Below are 16479 nucleotides of genomic sequence, written 5' to 3'. Positions count from 1 at the left end.
TTTGTGGTTTGTGTTTCCTTTCTCAGAATTCGAAACCAACTGAAAATCAGCTGCCAGGTAATGTCATATTGAGGATTTTACCCTATTTATATAAGATAATACCCAAGAGCTTAGTGATATACACAGAAAAGCTAATACGAAAATCTCTTCCTCATACATTTCACCTGTAAGTTGATCTTGGTGGGAATACTTGAGCAGAGAAATTTCCAACTAAAGGTTTGGGCTTAAAAGATGCCTTTTTTCATAGCTGATTTGAAGCTCTTCTGGGACTACTGTGGCTAAATAGGTCAGCATATTCGTGGCGTCGCAATCTGGGGAATATAGGTAGCCTGGCGGGGGAGGCTGGGGTCTAAGCTCAAAAGCTGGGAATGCACCCTTGACTTCCCTCGGTTCTGGAGGCCTTTCCTGGAGTGCCTTCTGCAAGGGACCCTTTGCGGCAGCAGAGTCAGCAGTGTCGTTGAAAAGCCTAATCCACCTCCTGAGAAGGGAGCAGCAATGCCCTCTTGTTCCCTCAGACACGGGATAGCCGACTGGTAGGTCACGAACAGCTCACCCTCAGCAGCACAGATTGTAAACTGGTCAGCCAACCATATTTGGTAATGAATTTGTGAGCTATTTGAACGCTATTGGAGCAGTTAAATCACTCTGGATCTGTTAGTTTTGAAAGTAGATTCTTTGGCAGATTTGCCATCAGAACGGAGACTAATACCTGTGGCATCAAATCTGTTTTCTTTGCTACACAGAGTTTGAAAACTGTTTTTAAGGTTTTAAGGGCTTATATGATACTTTTAGGGTTTGTTTCCTTTAGATATCTCCCATTGGAAGCAGGTTGCACAACGGCATGAAGAATATGGAAGCAGAGGCAAATTTGGGAACAGAATCCAGGTCTGTACAATCCAGTATCCTTTGTTCTTGCAAGAGGAGGGTCCAGAAGCAGCTGTTAGCGGGTGCTCACAAGGGTTTAGGGGCATCTTTGCTGGGTGGACCTTGCATCTGTCTATTATAATACTTTTTCAAAATGTAACCATTGGACCATTGGACTACTTGTTAGAAGTAACAGGAATGCTATTAACATACAGATTCCTAGGCCAAGGCGGGCGGATCACGAAGTCAGGAGATTGAGTCCATTCTGGCTAACATGGTGAAACCCCATCTCTACTAAAAATACAAAAAAATTAGCCGGCCATGGTGGCGGGCACCTGTAGTCCCAGCTACTCAGGAGGCTGAGGCAGGAGAATGGCGTGAACCCGGGAGGCGAAGCTTGCAGTGAGCCAAGATTGTGCCACTGCACTCCAGCCTGGGCAACAGAGCTAGGCTCTGTCTCAAAAAAAATAATAATTAAAAAATATATATAACAGAGAGAGATAGCGATATATAGATTCCTAGTCTGGGCAACATAGTGAGACCCTGTCTCTACAAAAAATAAGCAAAAAATTAGCTAGGCATGGTAGTACTCACCTGTAGTCCGAGCTCCTTGGGAGGCTGAGGCAGGAAGATCGGTTGACCGCCAAGGTGGAGGCTACAGTGAGCCGTGGTTGCGCCACTGCACGCCACCCTGGATGACAGAGCAAGAGCGAGACCCTGTCTGTCTGTCTCTCTATATATATACGTGTGTGTGTGTGTATGTGTGTGTGTGTGTGTGTATTTTAGATCCATTGCAGACCTACATAATCAGAACTAACAAGTTCTCTGGGGGATTCATTTTTTTAAATCTTTTATTAAGATATAATTTACATGGAGTAAAACTGTTGCATAGTTAGAAATGCATACAGTTAAGTAACCACACTAGAAAGATGCATAATAGTTGCATTACCCCCAAATTACCTGGTGATTCTTATGTACATTATAGTTTGAAAACCACTCATTTTTAAAAAATTGTTTGAAGTAGCCAAAATAAAAGGGGAAAGAGAATTGTTTTGAATTACCTCCTCTGTTCAAGAAGGTTTAGACCTGGCATAGCACATGAGTTTCATCTCATCAGTCAGCTCAGAATGACTGCTGGCTCCCTGGAGGGGAGACCTACATAGAGGATCCAGGGACTCCTCTGGGTTCAGCCAAATAATCTATCAGTGATTTTGAGGTTGGGGCAGGGTTGATGGAAGAGTGTGCCATCCTTGACTAGATGTTAAGCATGTTTCAAAATATCATTGATATGGGAGTGCTGGGAAGGGAAGAGGTGGTCCCTTTAAATGATATGGAAGGGGGGAAGGGAAGTGCTGCATAGAGGATGGCATGGTTCCTGGCTAGGGCTCCACCCCCACGGACCTAGGTGAGGACTGGCATTTCCTGCCCAAATGCTTCGCCCCCATTCCCTAGACCCTAGTAGGCAGATGCAGGTGGCTGGATGTCCGGAGGAACACTGACAGGCACCGGTGCGCTGGCAGGCCACCGACCTGCAGAAGCAGAATGACATGGAGTTTGGCCTGGGCAGTCAGAGGAGAGCCCGGGCCGCCAAGCGGCCGGACTCCAGGGGAAAAGCATCTCCCTTCTGGCTCCCCCATCTGCTGAGAGCTACTTCCACTCAATAAAACCTTGCACTCATTCTCCAAGCCCACGTGCGATCCGATTCTTCCAGTACATTAAGGCAAGAACCTCGGGATACAGAAAGCCCTCTGTCCTTGCAATGAGGCAGAGGTCTAATTGAACTAACACAAGCCGCCTATAGACGGCTAAACTAAAAGAGCAAAACTAAAAGCACACACTGTAACATACGCCCACTGGGGCTTCAGCTGTAAACATTCACCCCTGGACACTGTCTTGGGGTCAGAGCCCCACAGCCTGCCCATCTGTATGCTCACCTAGAAGTTTGAGGTTTGAGCAGCAGGGCACTGAAGAAGTGAGCCACTCTCCCATTGCACACCCTGCAAGGGGACAAGGGAACTTTTCCTGTTTCATCATGAAATAATGGATTTAGTGGCCGGGAGGGGTGGCTCGCGCCAGTAATCCCAGCACTTTAGGAGGCTGAGTCGGGTGGATCACGAGGTCAGGAGTTCCAAGACCAGCCTGGCCAAGATGGTGAAACCCCGTCTCTACTAAAAATACAAAAATTAGCTGGGCGCAGTGGAAGGCGCCTGTAATCCCAGCTACTCGGGAGGCTGAGGCAAGAGAATTGTTTGAATCTGGGGCAGGAGGGCAGAGGTTGCAGTGAGTCAAGATCGCACCACTGCACTCCAGCCTGGGTAACAGAGTGAGACTCCATCTCAAAATAAATAAATAAAATACGCATTTAGCACTTCGGGATCATGACTATGACTAGGCCCATGTGAAAAGAATCATCTCACCTTGTATGTAAGCAAGAGTTGGTGTCATTACTTAGATATTTCTCCTTCCTACAGTTAATGACATCTTGGAGGAACTTAGAAACAGGAAGTGACTCAGGATTGGGAAGCACCAGAAAAAGAGCTGCTGACATGACATGGTGACAAGCATTCTTTGTCAATTGACTTTTTCTCCCGCCCCCTGGATCCTAAGGAAACGGCACAGCATTTCCTTGCCCTGCCCTTGACGTGCTATGCCTACTCTAAGCTAGATAGGGGCTTCTGAAAGAAAAACCTAAGGAAGCCCCCTGCTCATGCCTGGAGGAAAGAACTGCCGACTTTGTCTTTGCCCTCAGCCAAACCGCCACAAGTATCTTTGTCTGCCTGGCTCTCCTGGGGCCATCACAGAGGGCTGGGGATGCTGACAGCCGTAAACTCCAGGCGAGGCAGAACCAAGCAGCTGTTCATAAGCGATTTCAGTGCATGTCCAGTGACCCGAATGGGACCCGACCATGGGGAAAATGATACAGAACTAGATCGCTTTCTTTAAATTTTATTTTTAGTTTGTGTACTCCTATGGAAGTGTAATTTTATCTTTGTGCTGGGAACACTGAAAAGCACTGACGGGGAGCTCCTTTGGCCTGGCCCATTTTTCTGAAAGCACGTTGCAGCTGTGGCTTCTGCCCAGCAGGCAGAGACTGATGTTAGATCCTGTACCCAGCTGCTGCTGGGAGAAGGGACAGACTCAGCTTCTGACTGCAGGGGCATCTGCAGGAAGATCGGGGAAACTGAAGACACTTTTAACTGCAAAAGCCCTAGAAACAGTAAGTGCAAATTGTTCCGTGGATTGTTGACTTCACATTCAAACCATCGGGAAGTGATCGAGACTGGAAGCGTCGACAAGGATCCGCAGGGTCTGGGACCAGAGACCAGCTTGTGATCCTGCTGTGGAGTGCTAGGGGTCTGCTCTGGGGAGGGGGCTTTGGCCTAGAAGAGACATGGTACAGGGTGGGAACTGTTACAGTCATGCAACACTTAACATCAGGTGATTCTGTCATTGTACAAATATAGAAAGAACTCACACTAACCCATACAGCGTAGCCTACTACACACGCAGGCTCTATAGCCTATTGCTCCTAGGCTACAAACACATCCAGTGTGTGTCTATACTGAATGCTGTAGACAATGGCAACACAATGGTATTTATATATCTAGACATATCTAAACAAAAGGTACAGTGAAAGATAAAATATATACAGTATAAAAGATTTTTTTAAAAAGCTGGGTGTGGTGGCACACTCCTGTAATCCCAGCACTTTGGGAGTCCTGAGGTGGGAGGATCACTTCATCCCAGGAGTTCGAGACGAGCCTGGGCAACATGGCGAAAACCCATCTTGACAAAAAATACAAAAATTAGCCGGGTGTGGTGGTGGGCGCCTGTAATCCCAGCTATTCAGGAGACTGAGGCGTGAGAATCGCTTGAACCCGGGGGGCGGAGGTTGCAGTGAGCCAAGATCATGCCACTGCACTCTAGCCTGAGTGACAGAGTGAGACATTCTGTCTTTTTTTTTTTTTTTTTGAGACGGAGTTTCGCTCTTGTTGCCCAGGCTGGAGTGCAATGACGCGATCTCAGCTCACCTCAACCTCCGCCTCCCGGGTTCAAGCAATTCTCCTGCCTCAGCTTCCCGAGTAGCTGAGATTACAGGCACGCGCCACCACACCCAGCTAATTTTGTATTTTTAGTAGAGACGGGATTTCTCCATGTTGGTCAGGCTGGTCTCGAACTCCCGACCACAGTTGATCCGCCTGCCTGGGCCTCTCAAAATCCTGGAATTACAGGCTTGAGCCACTGTACCCGGCAACATTCTGTCTTAAAAAAAAAAAACACGGGCCGGGCTCAGTGGCTCACGCCTGTCATCCCAGCACTTTGGGAGGCCGAGGCAGGCGAATCACGAGACAGATCACCTGGGCAAGAGAGGGAGACTCCATCTCAAAAAAAGAAAAAAAGAAAATTAAGTCCCCCCCATGCTCCCGAGTCTTCTTACTCCTCATAGGTGACCACTGTTCAGTCTACCGTTTCTTCCCAGAAATATGTGCACATACAAGCATATACATATGTCTACTCTTTGCTTAGCAAACCATTTATTCAGCCAAATTACAATTGTTGTCTTTGATAAAGCAGGCTACAGACCTCCAGATCCTAAATTGGTGGCACCAAAATTAGAGAACTTACTTTGTCTTGAAGAGAACACTTGCAAATTGACCAGGAACCCCTACTGCCAGTGTACATGAATTAGACTTCCATAAAGATTATAACTTAGGTGCCAGAATACACATTTTGAAATGAATGTAGGCCATCTAAAGGCATTTTTAGCTTCTAAACATTAACTTTATGGGGGCATAATTTACAGACAATAAATATACCTGCTTACAGTACATAGAGTTCAATTAGTTTTTGTTTTGTTTTGTTTTGTTTTGTTTTGTTTTGTTTTGAGAAAGGGTCTTGCTCTGTTACTCAGGCAGAAGTGCAGTAGCATGATCATAGCTCACTGCAGCCTGGATCTCCTGGGCTCAAGTGATCCTCCCACCTCAGCCTCCCAAGCAGCTAGGACTACAGGCACATGCCACTACATCCGGCTAATTTTTAAATTTTTCTGTGGATATGGGGTTCTCACTGTGTTGCCCAGGCTGGTCTTGAATTCCTGGGTTCAAGTGATTCTCTTGTCTCAGCATCCCAAAGTGTTGAGATTACAAGTGTGAGTCACTGCACCCAGCTGACTTTTTTTTTTCCCACTGTAAATACCATTGCCTTCTTTTGAGGGGGTTATTCTGAGTTTTAATTACTTATTGTTTTCTGGTTATGAAGATACTACAAGTTCCTTATTTTAAAATAGAGACAATTCAGAAAATAAAGAGAAACCAAAAGACATCAATAATTGCTCCATCCCTCAAAAAAAAAAAAATTTGGCATTATTAGCATTGTCTTTTTAAAAGCATATATGTGGCCGGGCATGGCGGCTCATGCTTATAATCCTAACATTTTGGGAGGCCAAGGCAGGAGGATAGTTTAAGGCCGGGAGTTCAAGACCAGCCTGGGCAACACAGCAATTCTCCCATTTCCACACACACACACAGTTTAGGCCGGGCCGGGCGTGGTGGCTCATGCCTGTAATCCCAGCACTTTGGGAGGCCAAGACGGGCGGGTCACGGGGTCAGGAGATTGAGACCATCCTGGCTAACACGGTGAGACCCCGTCTCTACTAAAAATACAAAAAAAAAAAAAAAATTAACCAGGTGTGGTGGTGGGTGCTTGTAGTCCCAGCTGCTCGGGAGGCTGAGGCAGGAGAATGGCGTGCACCCGGGAGGCAGAGCTTGCCGTGAGCCAAGATCGCGCCACTGCACTCCAGCCTGGGTGACAGAGCAAGACTTCACCTCCAAAAAAAAAAAAAAAATTTAGGCCGGGCATGGTGGCTCATGCCTATAATCTCAGCACTTTGGGAGGCTGAGGCGGGTGAATCACCTAAGTTCAGGAATTCAAGACCAGCCTGGCCAACATGGCGAAACCCCATCTCTACTAAAAATACAAAAATTGGCTGGGCGTGGTGGCACACACCTGTGATCCCGGCTACTCGGGAGGCTGAGACAGCAGAATTGCTTGAACCCAGGAAACAGGTTGCAGTGAGCCAAGACTACGCCACTGCACTCCAGCCTGGGCAATAAAGCAAGACCTTGTCACATACACACAAAAAATTGGCCAGGTGCGGTGGCTCATGCCTGTAATCCCAGCACTTTGGGGGGCTGAGGCAGGCGGATCACGAGGTCAGGAGATCAAGACCATCCTGGCTAACATGGTGAAACCCCATCTCTACCAAAAATACAAAAAAATTAGCTGGGCGTGGTGGCGGGCGCCTGTAGTCCCAGCTACTCGGGAGGCTGAGGCAGGAGAATGGCGTGAACCCGGGAGGCGGAGCTGGCAGTGAGCCGAGATCGCACCACTGCACTCCAGCCTGGGCGACAGAGCAAGACTCCATCTCAAAAAAAAAAAAAAAAAAATTGGCTGGATGCGGTGGCTCATGCCTGTAATCCCAGCACTTTGGGAGGCTGAGGCGGGTGGATCACCTGAGTTCGAGAGTTCACGACCAGCCTGACCAATGTGGAGAAATCCCCATCTCTACTGAAAATACAAAAAATTAGCCGAGTGTGGTGGCACATTCCTGTAATCCCAGCTACTCGGGAGGCTGAAGCAGGAGGACTGCTTGAGCCCAGGAGGTCAGGCTGCAGTGAGCTATGATCACGCCAACGCACTTCAGCCTCGGCAACAGAGTGGGATCTTGTGTCTAAAAAATAAAAACGAAAAATAAATGCACACATGCACTTACTCATCTGTAAACACGGATAGTAATTTCAAGTGTCCTTATATAGTAATTCTCTGAACAAGGATTGGTATGTGGTTTTTAATTTCAGAAAAACTGAAAGCCATATTAAATTTAGTTACCCAGGCTGGAGTGCAGTGGTGTGAGCTCAGCTCACTGCAGGCTCGACCTCCTGGGCTCAAGTGATCCTCCCACTTCAGCTTCCCAAGTAACTGGGACCACAAGTGCGCACCACCACAGCCAGTTAATTTTTTATATTTTATGTGGAGATGAGGTCTTGCCATGTTACCCATACTCATCTCAAACTCTGTGCTCAAGCAATCTTCCCACCTTGGCCTCCCAAAGTGCTGGGATTACAGGCGTGAGCCACCGCGTCTGGCTCCAGCCTCTTTTCAACAACACTGGTCATTAGGCTTGGTTTTCTTTTTCTTTTTTTTTTTTTTTTTTGAGACGAGTCTTGCTCTGTTGCCCAGGCTAGTATAGTGGTGCAATCTCAGCTCACTGCAACCTGAGCCTCTGGGGTTCAATCAATTCTCCTGCCTCAGCCTCTCAAGTAGCTGGGATTACAAGCCTATGCCACCACGCCTGGCTAATTTTTGTACTTTTAGTAGAGACGGGGTTTTACCATTTTGGCCAGGCTGCTTTCAAACTCCTGACCTCGTGATCCACCCATCTCAGCCTCCCAGAATGCTGGGATTACAGGCATGAGCCACTGCGCCCGGCCAGAAAAGACATTTCTACATTGTGCATGTGCCATGGGGTATGTCTCAAATGAAACTGTCTTGCCTCCACATCCCAAAGATAACTGAAATTTCAGTTTAAACTCCAGTTAAGCAGAATAGTTGTCAGCCAAGCACGGTGGCTCATACTTGTAATCCCAGCATTTTGGTAGGCCAAGGAGGGAGGATTGCTTAAGCCCAGGAGTTCAAGACCAGCCTGGGCAAATATTGAGACCCTGTCTCCACAAAAATTAAAATTAAAATTAACTGGGGCTGGGCATGGTGGCTCACGCCTGTAATCCCAGCACTTTGGGAGGCCAAGGCATGCGGATTGCCTGAGGTCGGGAGTTCGAGAAACCCCATCTCTACTAAAAATATAAAAATTAGGTGGGTGTGGTGGCACACACCTGTAATCCCAGCTATTCAAGAGGCTGAGGCAGGAGAATTGCTTAAACCCGGGAGATGGAGGTTGCAGTGAGCCAAGATTGCCCCACTGCACTCCAGCCTGGGCGACAGAATGAGACTCTGTCTCAAAAAAAATAAAAATAGGCCTTGTGCAGTGGCTTACGCTTGTAATCCCAGCACTTTGGGAGGCCGAGGCAGGCGAATCACAAGGTCAGAAGTTCGAGACCAGCCTGGCCAACATGGAGAAACCCCATCTCTACTAAAAATACAAAATTAGCCGGACGTTGTGGTGCATGCCTGTAATCCTGGCTACTCAGGAGGCTGAGGCAGGAGAATCGCTTGAACCCGGGAGTCAGAGGTTGCGGTGAGCCAAGATTGTGCCATTGCACTCCAGCCTGGGCAATAAGAGCGAAATTCCGTCTCAAAAAAATAATAAAATAAAATAAAATAGGGGCTAGGAGCAGTGGCTTGCGCCTGTAATCCCAGCACATTGGGAGGCCGAGGCAGGTGGATCACCTGAGTCAGGAGTTCAAGACCATCCAGGCCAACATGGTGAAACCCTGCTGTCTCTACTAAAAATACAAAAATTACCTGGGCGTGGTGACTCACACCTGTAGTCCCAGCTACTCGGGAGGCTGAGGCAGGAGAATTGCTTGAACCCAAGAGGTGGAGGTTGCAGTGAGCTGAGATCACACCACTGCACTCCAGCCTGGTGATAGAGCGAGACTCCGTCTTTAAATAAATAAAATAAAATAAAATAAAATAAAATAAAATAAAATAAAATAAAATAGATAAACAAATAACTAAAATTAACTGGGTATGGTGGCACGCCTATAGTCGTAGCTACTCAGGAAGCTGAGGTGGAAGGATCACTTGAGCCTGGGAGGTCGAGGCTGCAGTGAGCCATGATGGAGCCACTGCATGGCCAACAGAGCAAGACCCTATCTCAAAAATAAATGAATAAATAAATAAATAAAAATAAAAGAACCAATAAAAGTAAAAACAGTTGTGAGCCAGTCTGGATTTTCTGGTCCCATTTTACATTTGCCCATTTGTTCTAGTCTCGTGTAGCACTGAGCAGTTCACTCCACAAGCATTTATTAAGCACCACTCATGTTGCAGGCACCAGATTCCATCCTGGAACTATGACACTGTAACAGGCAGACCCCGTCCCACTCTTCAAGGGGCCGACGCTGCTGAGGGGGATGGACAGGCTGTCAGGGCTCAGGGTGCTGCGTGCTTGGACCCAGGGAACTGATCAGAAAGTGCGCCAGGAGCACAGGGCAGAGGCATCTCACCCAGGCTGGCTTTCTGGAGCAGTGATGGATAAATTGCCACCTAACAGATGAGTAGGAGTTAGTCATATAAAGTGGGCTGGAGGCCAGAAGTGGTGGTTCACCCCTGTAATCCAGCACTTTGGGAGGCTGAATTGCTTGAATGTAGGAGTTCAAGACCAGCCTGGGCAACATGGCAAAACCCCATCTCTACAAAAAATACAAAAATTAGCCAGGTGTGGTGGCACACGCCTGTAGTCTCAATTACTCGGGGGACATGAGGCGGGAGAATCACTTGAGCCTGGGGGGGTGAAGGCTGCAGTGAGACGAGATTGTGCCAAAGCACTACAGCCTAGGTGACAGAGTGAGACTCCATCTCAAAAATAAATAAAAATAAATGAAATGGGAGGAAATCATAAATGCGGGGGAAGGTCCAAGGGTGACAGCTTTCAAGGAACAGGAACAGAAAGAAATTCCCAAGGCAGGAGCCTAGCGGGGAAGATGGGCTGAAACGGGCTGGAGAGGCGAGCAGGGAAGGGGCAGGTGAGCCAGAGCTCTGGCCACAGCCACGCTGGGAGGAGGGTCTGTGGTGCTCAGCCTGTAAGACTGGAGCAGGTGGTGGCATGAGCAGGAGGCCGGTTTGGAGTTGGCAGCCCGCATTGTTTGCCCCAAGGACCGGACAGCAGTGGGAACTGTGGCAGTGGGAGCGGCGGCAGTGGGAGCGGCAGTGCCAGGGTGCAGTGGGGCTGCGGAGGCGCTGGGGCTGGGGGTGGTTGGGGTGGTGGTTTGTGTTTAAGGGTGAAAAGGGCTGGGTTATGGGAAGGAGCAGGAAACATGGGGGAGAGGATTGGTAAATGGCAGAACCATGGCCTGAAGTGGTACGAGGGGCAGGGGCTCGAAGCAAAGTGGGAGGGATTAGCCCTTGGGGAAGAGCCTGAAGGTGCTGGGAAGAAGCAAGCTGGGAGCTTGGGAGCTGGCCTTTCTCCTAGGAGCATGAGGGAAGAGGCCATCAGGGAGAAAAGGGGTGGGACAGGGTGAGTTCTGAAGAGAGCAGAGGAGGAGAAATTAAATGGCAGGAAGAGGGGAGGGAACCCCGGGCACTGTGGGTGTGAAGGCCACACAGTGCCCCACTGAGGCTGGAGATGCTGGTTTTGCAGAGACACCTGTCTGAGCCATCCTGGAACCCCCATACCCCTTAGAGCAGCCCTACGCCTCTACCCCACTCCTGCACTTATATCCTCCACCCAGAAATGATGGGAGAAGTGACAGGTGCCCCACAATAAAATGGAGTTTTCTGCAGCAAAGTCCCTACAATGGAGTCGTAGAACGTGTTCCTCGCAGGGGCCGCTGAGATGACGGCGACATGGTGCTTTCGGGGGCGGCTGGGATCCAGCTCCACATGGAAGAAGTGCCTGGGATTCTGCTGGAGGAAAGGCAGATAGCGAGTTTATTTTTAAACCCAAGTGGGCACCGCGGCTGCCAGAGAGAAGCAGACGGCTCTTGGGGAGAGTGGAGATTGGCAGCCGGTCAGACACTTGTCAGGAAGCCTGAGGCTGCCAAGCGGGCAGGGGTTCAGGTGGCGGAGGGCCAGGGCTGAACAGAGGGGTCTGTGGGGGTGAGGGCAGCAGCAATTAACCCTTCGGGGTCCAACACCAGCGTGGCCTAAGGAGGTAGCCAGGCCTGGAGGACTGAGTGTAGCGAGTGGAGACCTCAGGCTGGGCTGCCCCTGGGGCCACATGGAGCCAGTGTAAGTGATAACTGTCCTAGCCCCTGCACCCAGTGGTGGCCCAGGCTTGGTCTCCTCCTGTAGTCAGATGGGCCACGTGAATAGCCTTGTGCAAAGCAAAGGTGTCTCTTGGGGACCCCTTGCTGCTCTCCACGCTCTGAAGGCCCCTGGGCCTCTTGCATTGGGGTGTTCTTTTTTTTGAGACAGAGCCTCCCTCTGTCACCCAGGCTGGAGTGCAGCGGCATGATCTTGGCTCACTGCAACCTCCCCTTCCCAGGTTTAAGCAATCCCCTTGTCTCAGCCTCCCGAGTAGCTGGGATTACAGGCACCAGCCACCACGCACAGCTAAATTTTGTATTTTTAGTAGAGACGGGGTTTTACCATGTTGGCCAGGCTGTTCTCTAGCTCCTGAGCTCAAGTGAGCCACCTGCCTCCGCCTCCCAAAGTGCTGGAATTACAGGTGTGAGCCACTGTGCCTGGCCACACTGTCAGCATTCTGAGGAGCCAAGTGGCACTTAGTCCTGATAGCTGACTTGGAATGCCGCCTGTGACTGAGGTGGAGGGCATGGCTTCATGGCCTCATCAACCTCATGGGGACTTGGCGAAGTCTCGGTGGTGAACAGGCCTCCTAAGGACTCCTGCGCATGGCAAGGGCTGTCAGGGCACATTTCAGGAGCTGTCGCCAGGGGTGGTCTCCAGGTTGTAACGGCTTTGGCCTCTTAGAGGACATGATCCACTGACTGGTGTTTATTTCCCACCTTTGCTTTCAACACCAAAGGCCTGAAGAGCCTAGGCCGCAGGCACTGGGTTTCTGGGCTCAGCTGAAAGTCTTCAAGAATCTTCCTCAGCATGAAGCCTTGGGCTGGAGCTGCTTCTCTCTCCTGCTGATCTTCTGGAAAGATTGACAGAAATCTTCTTTTGCCTAAAGCAAGTTCCTGGGAGCCAGAGCCCCTTTCAGGGCAGGATAAATCTAGGTCTCTCACTCTAGATTAAGTTAAAATTCCTTGATCCTGCCAACATCAGCCTGACTTGTCTCTTGCCTTCTTCTTCTTCTTCTTTTTTTTTTTTGGAGATGGAGTCTTGCTCTGTCACCCAGGCTGGAGTACAATGGACCATCTCGGCTCACTGCAACCCCTGCCTCCTGGGTTCAAGCGATTCTTCTGCCTCAGCCGCCAGAGTAGCTGGGATTACAGGTGCGCACCGCCACGCCTGGCTAATTTTTTTGTATTTTTAGTAGAGACGGGGTTTCGCCATGTTGGCCATGCTGGTTTCCATCTCCTGACCTCGTGATCTGCCCACCTCAGCCTCCCAAAGTGCTGGGATTACAGGCATGAGCCACTGCGCCCGGCCATCTCTTGCCTTCTAGAAAGGACTATACACAAAGGTTCCCTCTGACCTTTAAGGAGGCAGTGTCTGCTGCTCCTGACCTAAGTCTTTCACACATAGTTGTCTGTTTTCTCTTCTGTCCTTTCCTTCTTTCAAAGCTTCCTGGATGTAAATGTTGCTTCTTAACAGTATCTGTAATAGCCACATGTAGCTGCTGAGTTTGAAATTGGGCACAATGCATCCCTGATTTCAAAGGCTTTGTACAAAAAAAAAAAGGATGTACCATCTCAATAATTATTTTATGTTGATTATATGTTGGTATGAGAATATTTTGGATGTATTAGATTTATTTATTTAGTTAGTTTTAGTTTTTTGAGATGGAGTCTCGCTCTGTAGCCCAGGCTGGAGTGCACTGGCACAATCTCGGCTCACTGCAACCTCCGCCTCCCAGGTTCAAGCAATCCTCCTGCCTGGGATTACAGCTGGGATTACGGATTACAGGCACCCGCCACCACATCGCTAATTTTTGTATTTTTAGTAGAGATGGGGTTTCACCATGTTGGCCAGGCTGGTCTCGAACTCCTGACCTCATGATCCACCCTCCCCAGCCTCCCAAAGTGCTGGGATTATAGGCTGAGCCACTGCACCCAGCCCCTGTGCAAAAAAAATTGGCCAGGCATTAGCCAGGCGTGGTGGCACGCACCTGTAATCCCAGCTACGTGGGAGGCTGAGGTGAAAAGATCCCTGGAACCCTGGAGGTGGAGGTTGCAGTGAGCCAAGATGGCACCACTCCACTAGGGTGACAGAGCAAGCTCAGTCTAAAAAAAAAAAAAAAAGAAAAAAAAGAAGAAAATTAACCAGGCATGATGGCCAGCACCTGTGGTCCCAACTACTTAGGAGGCTGATGTGGGAAGATTATTTGAGCCCCAGTGTTCAATGCTGCAGTGAGCTATGATGCATTACTACACTCCAGACTGGGCGACAGACAAAAAAGAAAAAAAAAAGTGAGGGGTGAGGGGGATGATTCGGAGGCAACCTGGAATGGTGATTTTATCCAAAGATTTTCTTTTTCCTTCCTTTTTTTTTTTTTTTTGAGACAGAGTCTTGCTCTGTGTTAGCCTCCCATGTAGCTGGGACTACAGGCCCACACCACCATGCTTAGCGAATTTTTTTTTTTTTTTTGAGACAGAGTCTCGCTCTGTCACCCAGGCTGGAGTGCAGTGGCACCATCTCGGCTCACTGCAACCACCACCTCCCAGTTCAAGCAATTCTCCTGCCTCAGCCTCCCGAGTAGCTGGGACTACAGGCATGCACCACCACGCCCAGCTAATTTTTGTATTTTTAGTAGAGATTTGATTTCACCATATTGGCCAGGCTGGTCTCAAACTCCTGACCTCGTGATCCCACCCGCCTCGGCCTCCCAAAGTGTTGGAATTACAGGTGTGAGCCACTGCGCCCGGCCGGTTAATTTTTAAAAAGTTTTTTGTAGAGACAAGGTCTCACTATATTGCTCAGGCAGGTCTTGAACTCCTGGGCTCACTCAAGTGATCCTCCCACCTCAGCCTCCCAAAGTAATAAAATTATAGGCATAAGCCACTGCTCCTGGCCAAAGGAATTTCTACTTTTGAAAAATAAGGGTTCCTGGGAATTCCTTGCAATAGGTGGCCTTCACTGCAAATTTCAAATTCCTGGTTCCACCCATGTTGTTTAGGAATCACTCCATCAGAGCTGCCGATAACCAGTTCTGAAACCAAAGTCAGTCTTTTCAGATGTTCTGTTTGGGCCAGATCTGATTCTCCACTCCAACCTGTGGAGCTTTATTTCCTCCTGGCCAGTTGGGAAAAGGTGAACTGGCATCCCTAGGCAGGCAAGACAAAGGCAGAGAGTTCGGTGCCTCTCTGACATCCGCTTGCCTACCCACGCAGGGGACACTTAGGGCTCCAGGGTTTGGTCCGAGGCTGAGAGGCATCTGGTGACTCTGCACTGACCATTTTTTTTTTTTCTTGAGACAGAGCCTTGCTCTGTCGCCAAGGCTGGAGTGCAGTGGTGTGACCTCAGCTCACTGCAACCTCTGCCTCCCGGGTTCAAGCAATTCTCTCTCTCAGCCTCCCAAGTAGTTGGGACTGCAGGCAAGCGCCACCACACCTGGCTAATTTTTGTATCTTTAGTAGAGACAGGGTTTCACCATGTTGGCCAGGCTGGTCTCGAACTCCTGACTTCAAGTGATCCACCTGCCTTGGCCTCCCAAGTGTTGGGATTACAGGCGTGAGCCACCACGCTCGGCCTACACTGACCTTTGAGAGTCACAAAGGCTGAGCCTCACCTGTGCCCTCTCTGCCTTCCTGCCATTCATCTGCCAGAAGCCACCCTTTCCCTATCTGGAGGGTCAGCTGAACCACACATCAGACCCGGATAGACTGGGAACTGGGAACTGAGAAAGGGTTAAGCATGGGCATGGAGGAGTTGAGAGGCAGAAGCAAAAAGAAAGTTAAAAATAATGTTATTCAGCCTAGAGCAAGGAAGACAAGGGCACAGCTAGACTTCAGTTTGTGACTGATCGGTTTGAGAATGATTCTTGCTTTTTTCCCCCTGCACTCTGAATAGGAAGAAGCTGACCTTCTGCTGCAGGAGAGACTGGAGTTAGATGTTACCCAGTGTCCTGCGGCGACCAGATGCCAGAGTAGGAATCTAAGCTGAACGTGGCCCTGGGTCCTACTCTTTCGGCATGTGATCCGAGGTGGCCTTGGGAACCCTACCTGTTCAGGAATGGGGGGCTATGATCCCAAAGCTTCTAGCTGCCAATTCTTCCCAGGCCCCTGCTTGGTGCTGCTATTTCTTTCTCCATCTTTTTCTAGCCTTTCATTTGTTTCCCTGCCCCCAACTGCTTCTTTTATCTTTTCCCTTAACAAGCGGGACTTCCAGAGCCCGATGGATCCTCCCCCAGTTCTTCCTCCCGGCCCCCCAAGTCTGCGAATACCTCCAGGCCCAAGCACTCTGCAGGGGAAGACAGGAATAATCATTACAGGCTCCTGGCTCAGACGCAGCCCCAGCCAGGGGAGGGACTCCCAGCACTAGCCTTGCTCAGTCCCCTCCTGCCCCAGGCTCGGCCAGAGAGCACAGGGGTGGGAAAAGAGCCCAGGAACACGGTGCCCTGGGACCAGACAGGCTAATGGTTTTGTCCAGCGTTCTGGAATCTTTTGGGAGGTGAGGAGAGGCTTCTTTGGCTTCAGCCATAAAAGGGAAGTTGGGTCTCCAGACTTTTGGGAAAATGCTTTCCTACTCGCCTGGCCTCCTGCTTTGCTGGAGCCAGAGGAGGGGCACAACTGTCTTTGTTGGAAGAGCCGAGGAAGCGAGGAAGCGGAAGCGGGAGGGCCAGGCCTCCACCCTGTTTCCTCACCA

At 49.5% G+C, this 16479-nt stretch overlaps 1 protein-coding gene across 2 annotated transcripts in view; it reads left to right on the top strand.

Annotated features, from left to right (window-relative positions):
• Positions 1-4344, top strand: part of GJC1 (gap junction protein gamma 1) — a 37261-nt gene extending 32917 nt beyond the window's left edge. For both annotated transcript variants that reach the window (XR_934346.4, XR_007065255.1), the window contains exons 4-6: positions 27-57; positions 809-885; positions 3336-4344. The gene's annotated coding sequence lies outside the window, so the exon portion shown is untranslated. The remainder of the gene's footprint in view (positions 1-26; positions 58-808; positions 886-3335) is intronic.
• Positions 4345-16479: the final 12135 nt, after the last annotated feature.

This window comes from Homo sapiens, chromosome 17 (assembly GCF_000001405.40).
Source record: "Homo sapiens chromosome 17, GRCh38.p14 Primary Assembly".
NCBI classification, from domain to species: domain Eukaryota; kingdom Metazoa; phylum Chordata; class Mammalia; order Primates; family Hominidae; genus Homo; species Homo sapiens.
Note: the sequence above shows the minus strand (reverse complement) of the source record. Positions and strands in the feature narration are given on the sequence as shown.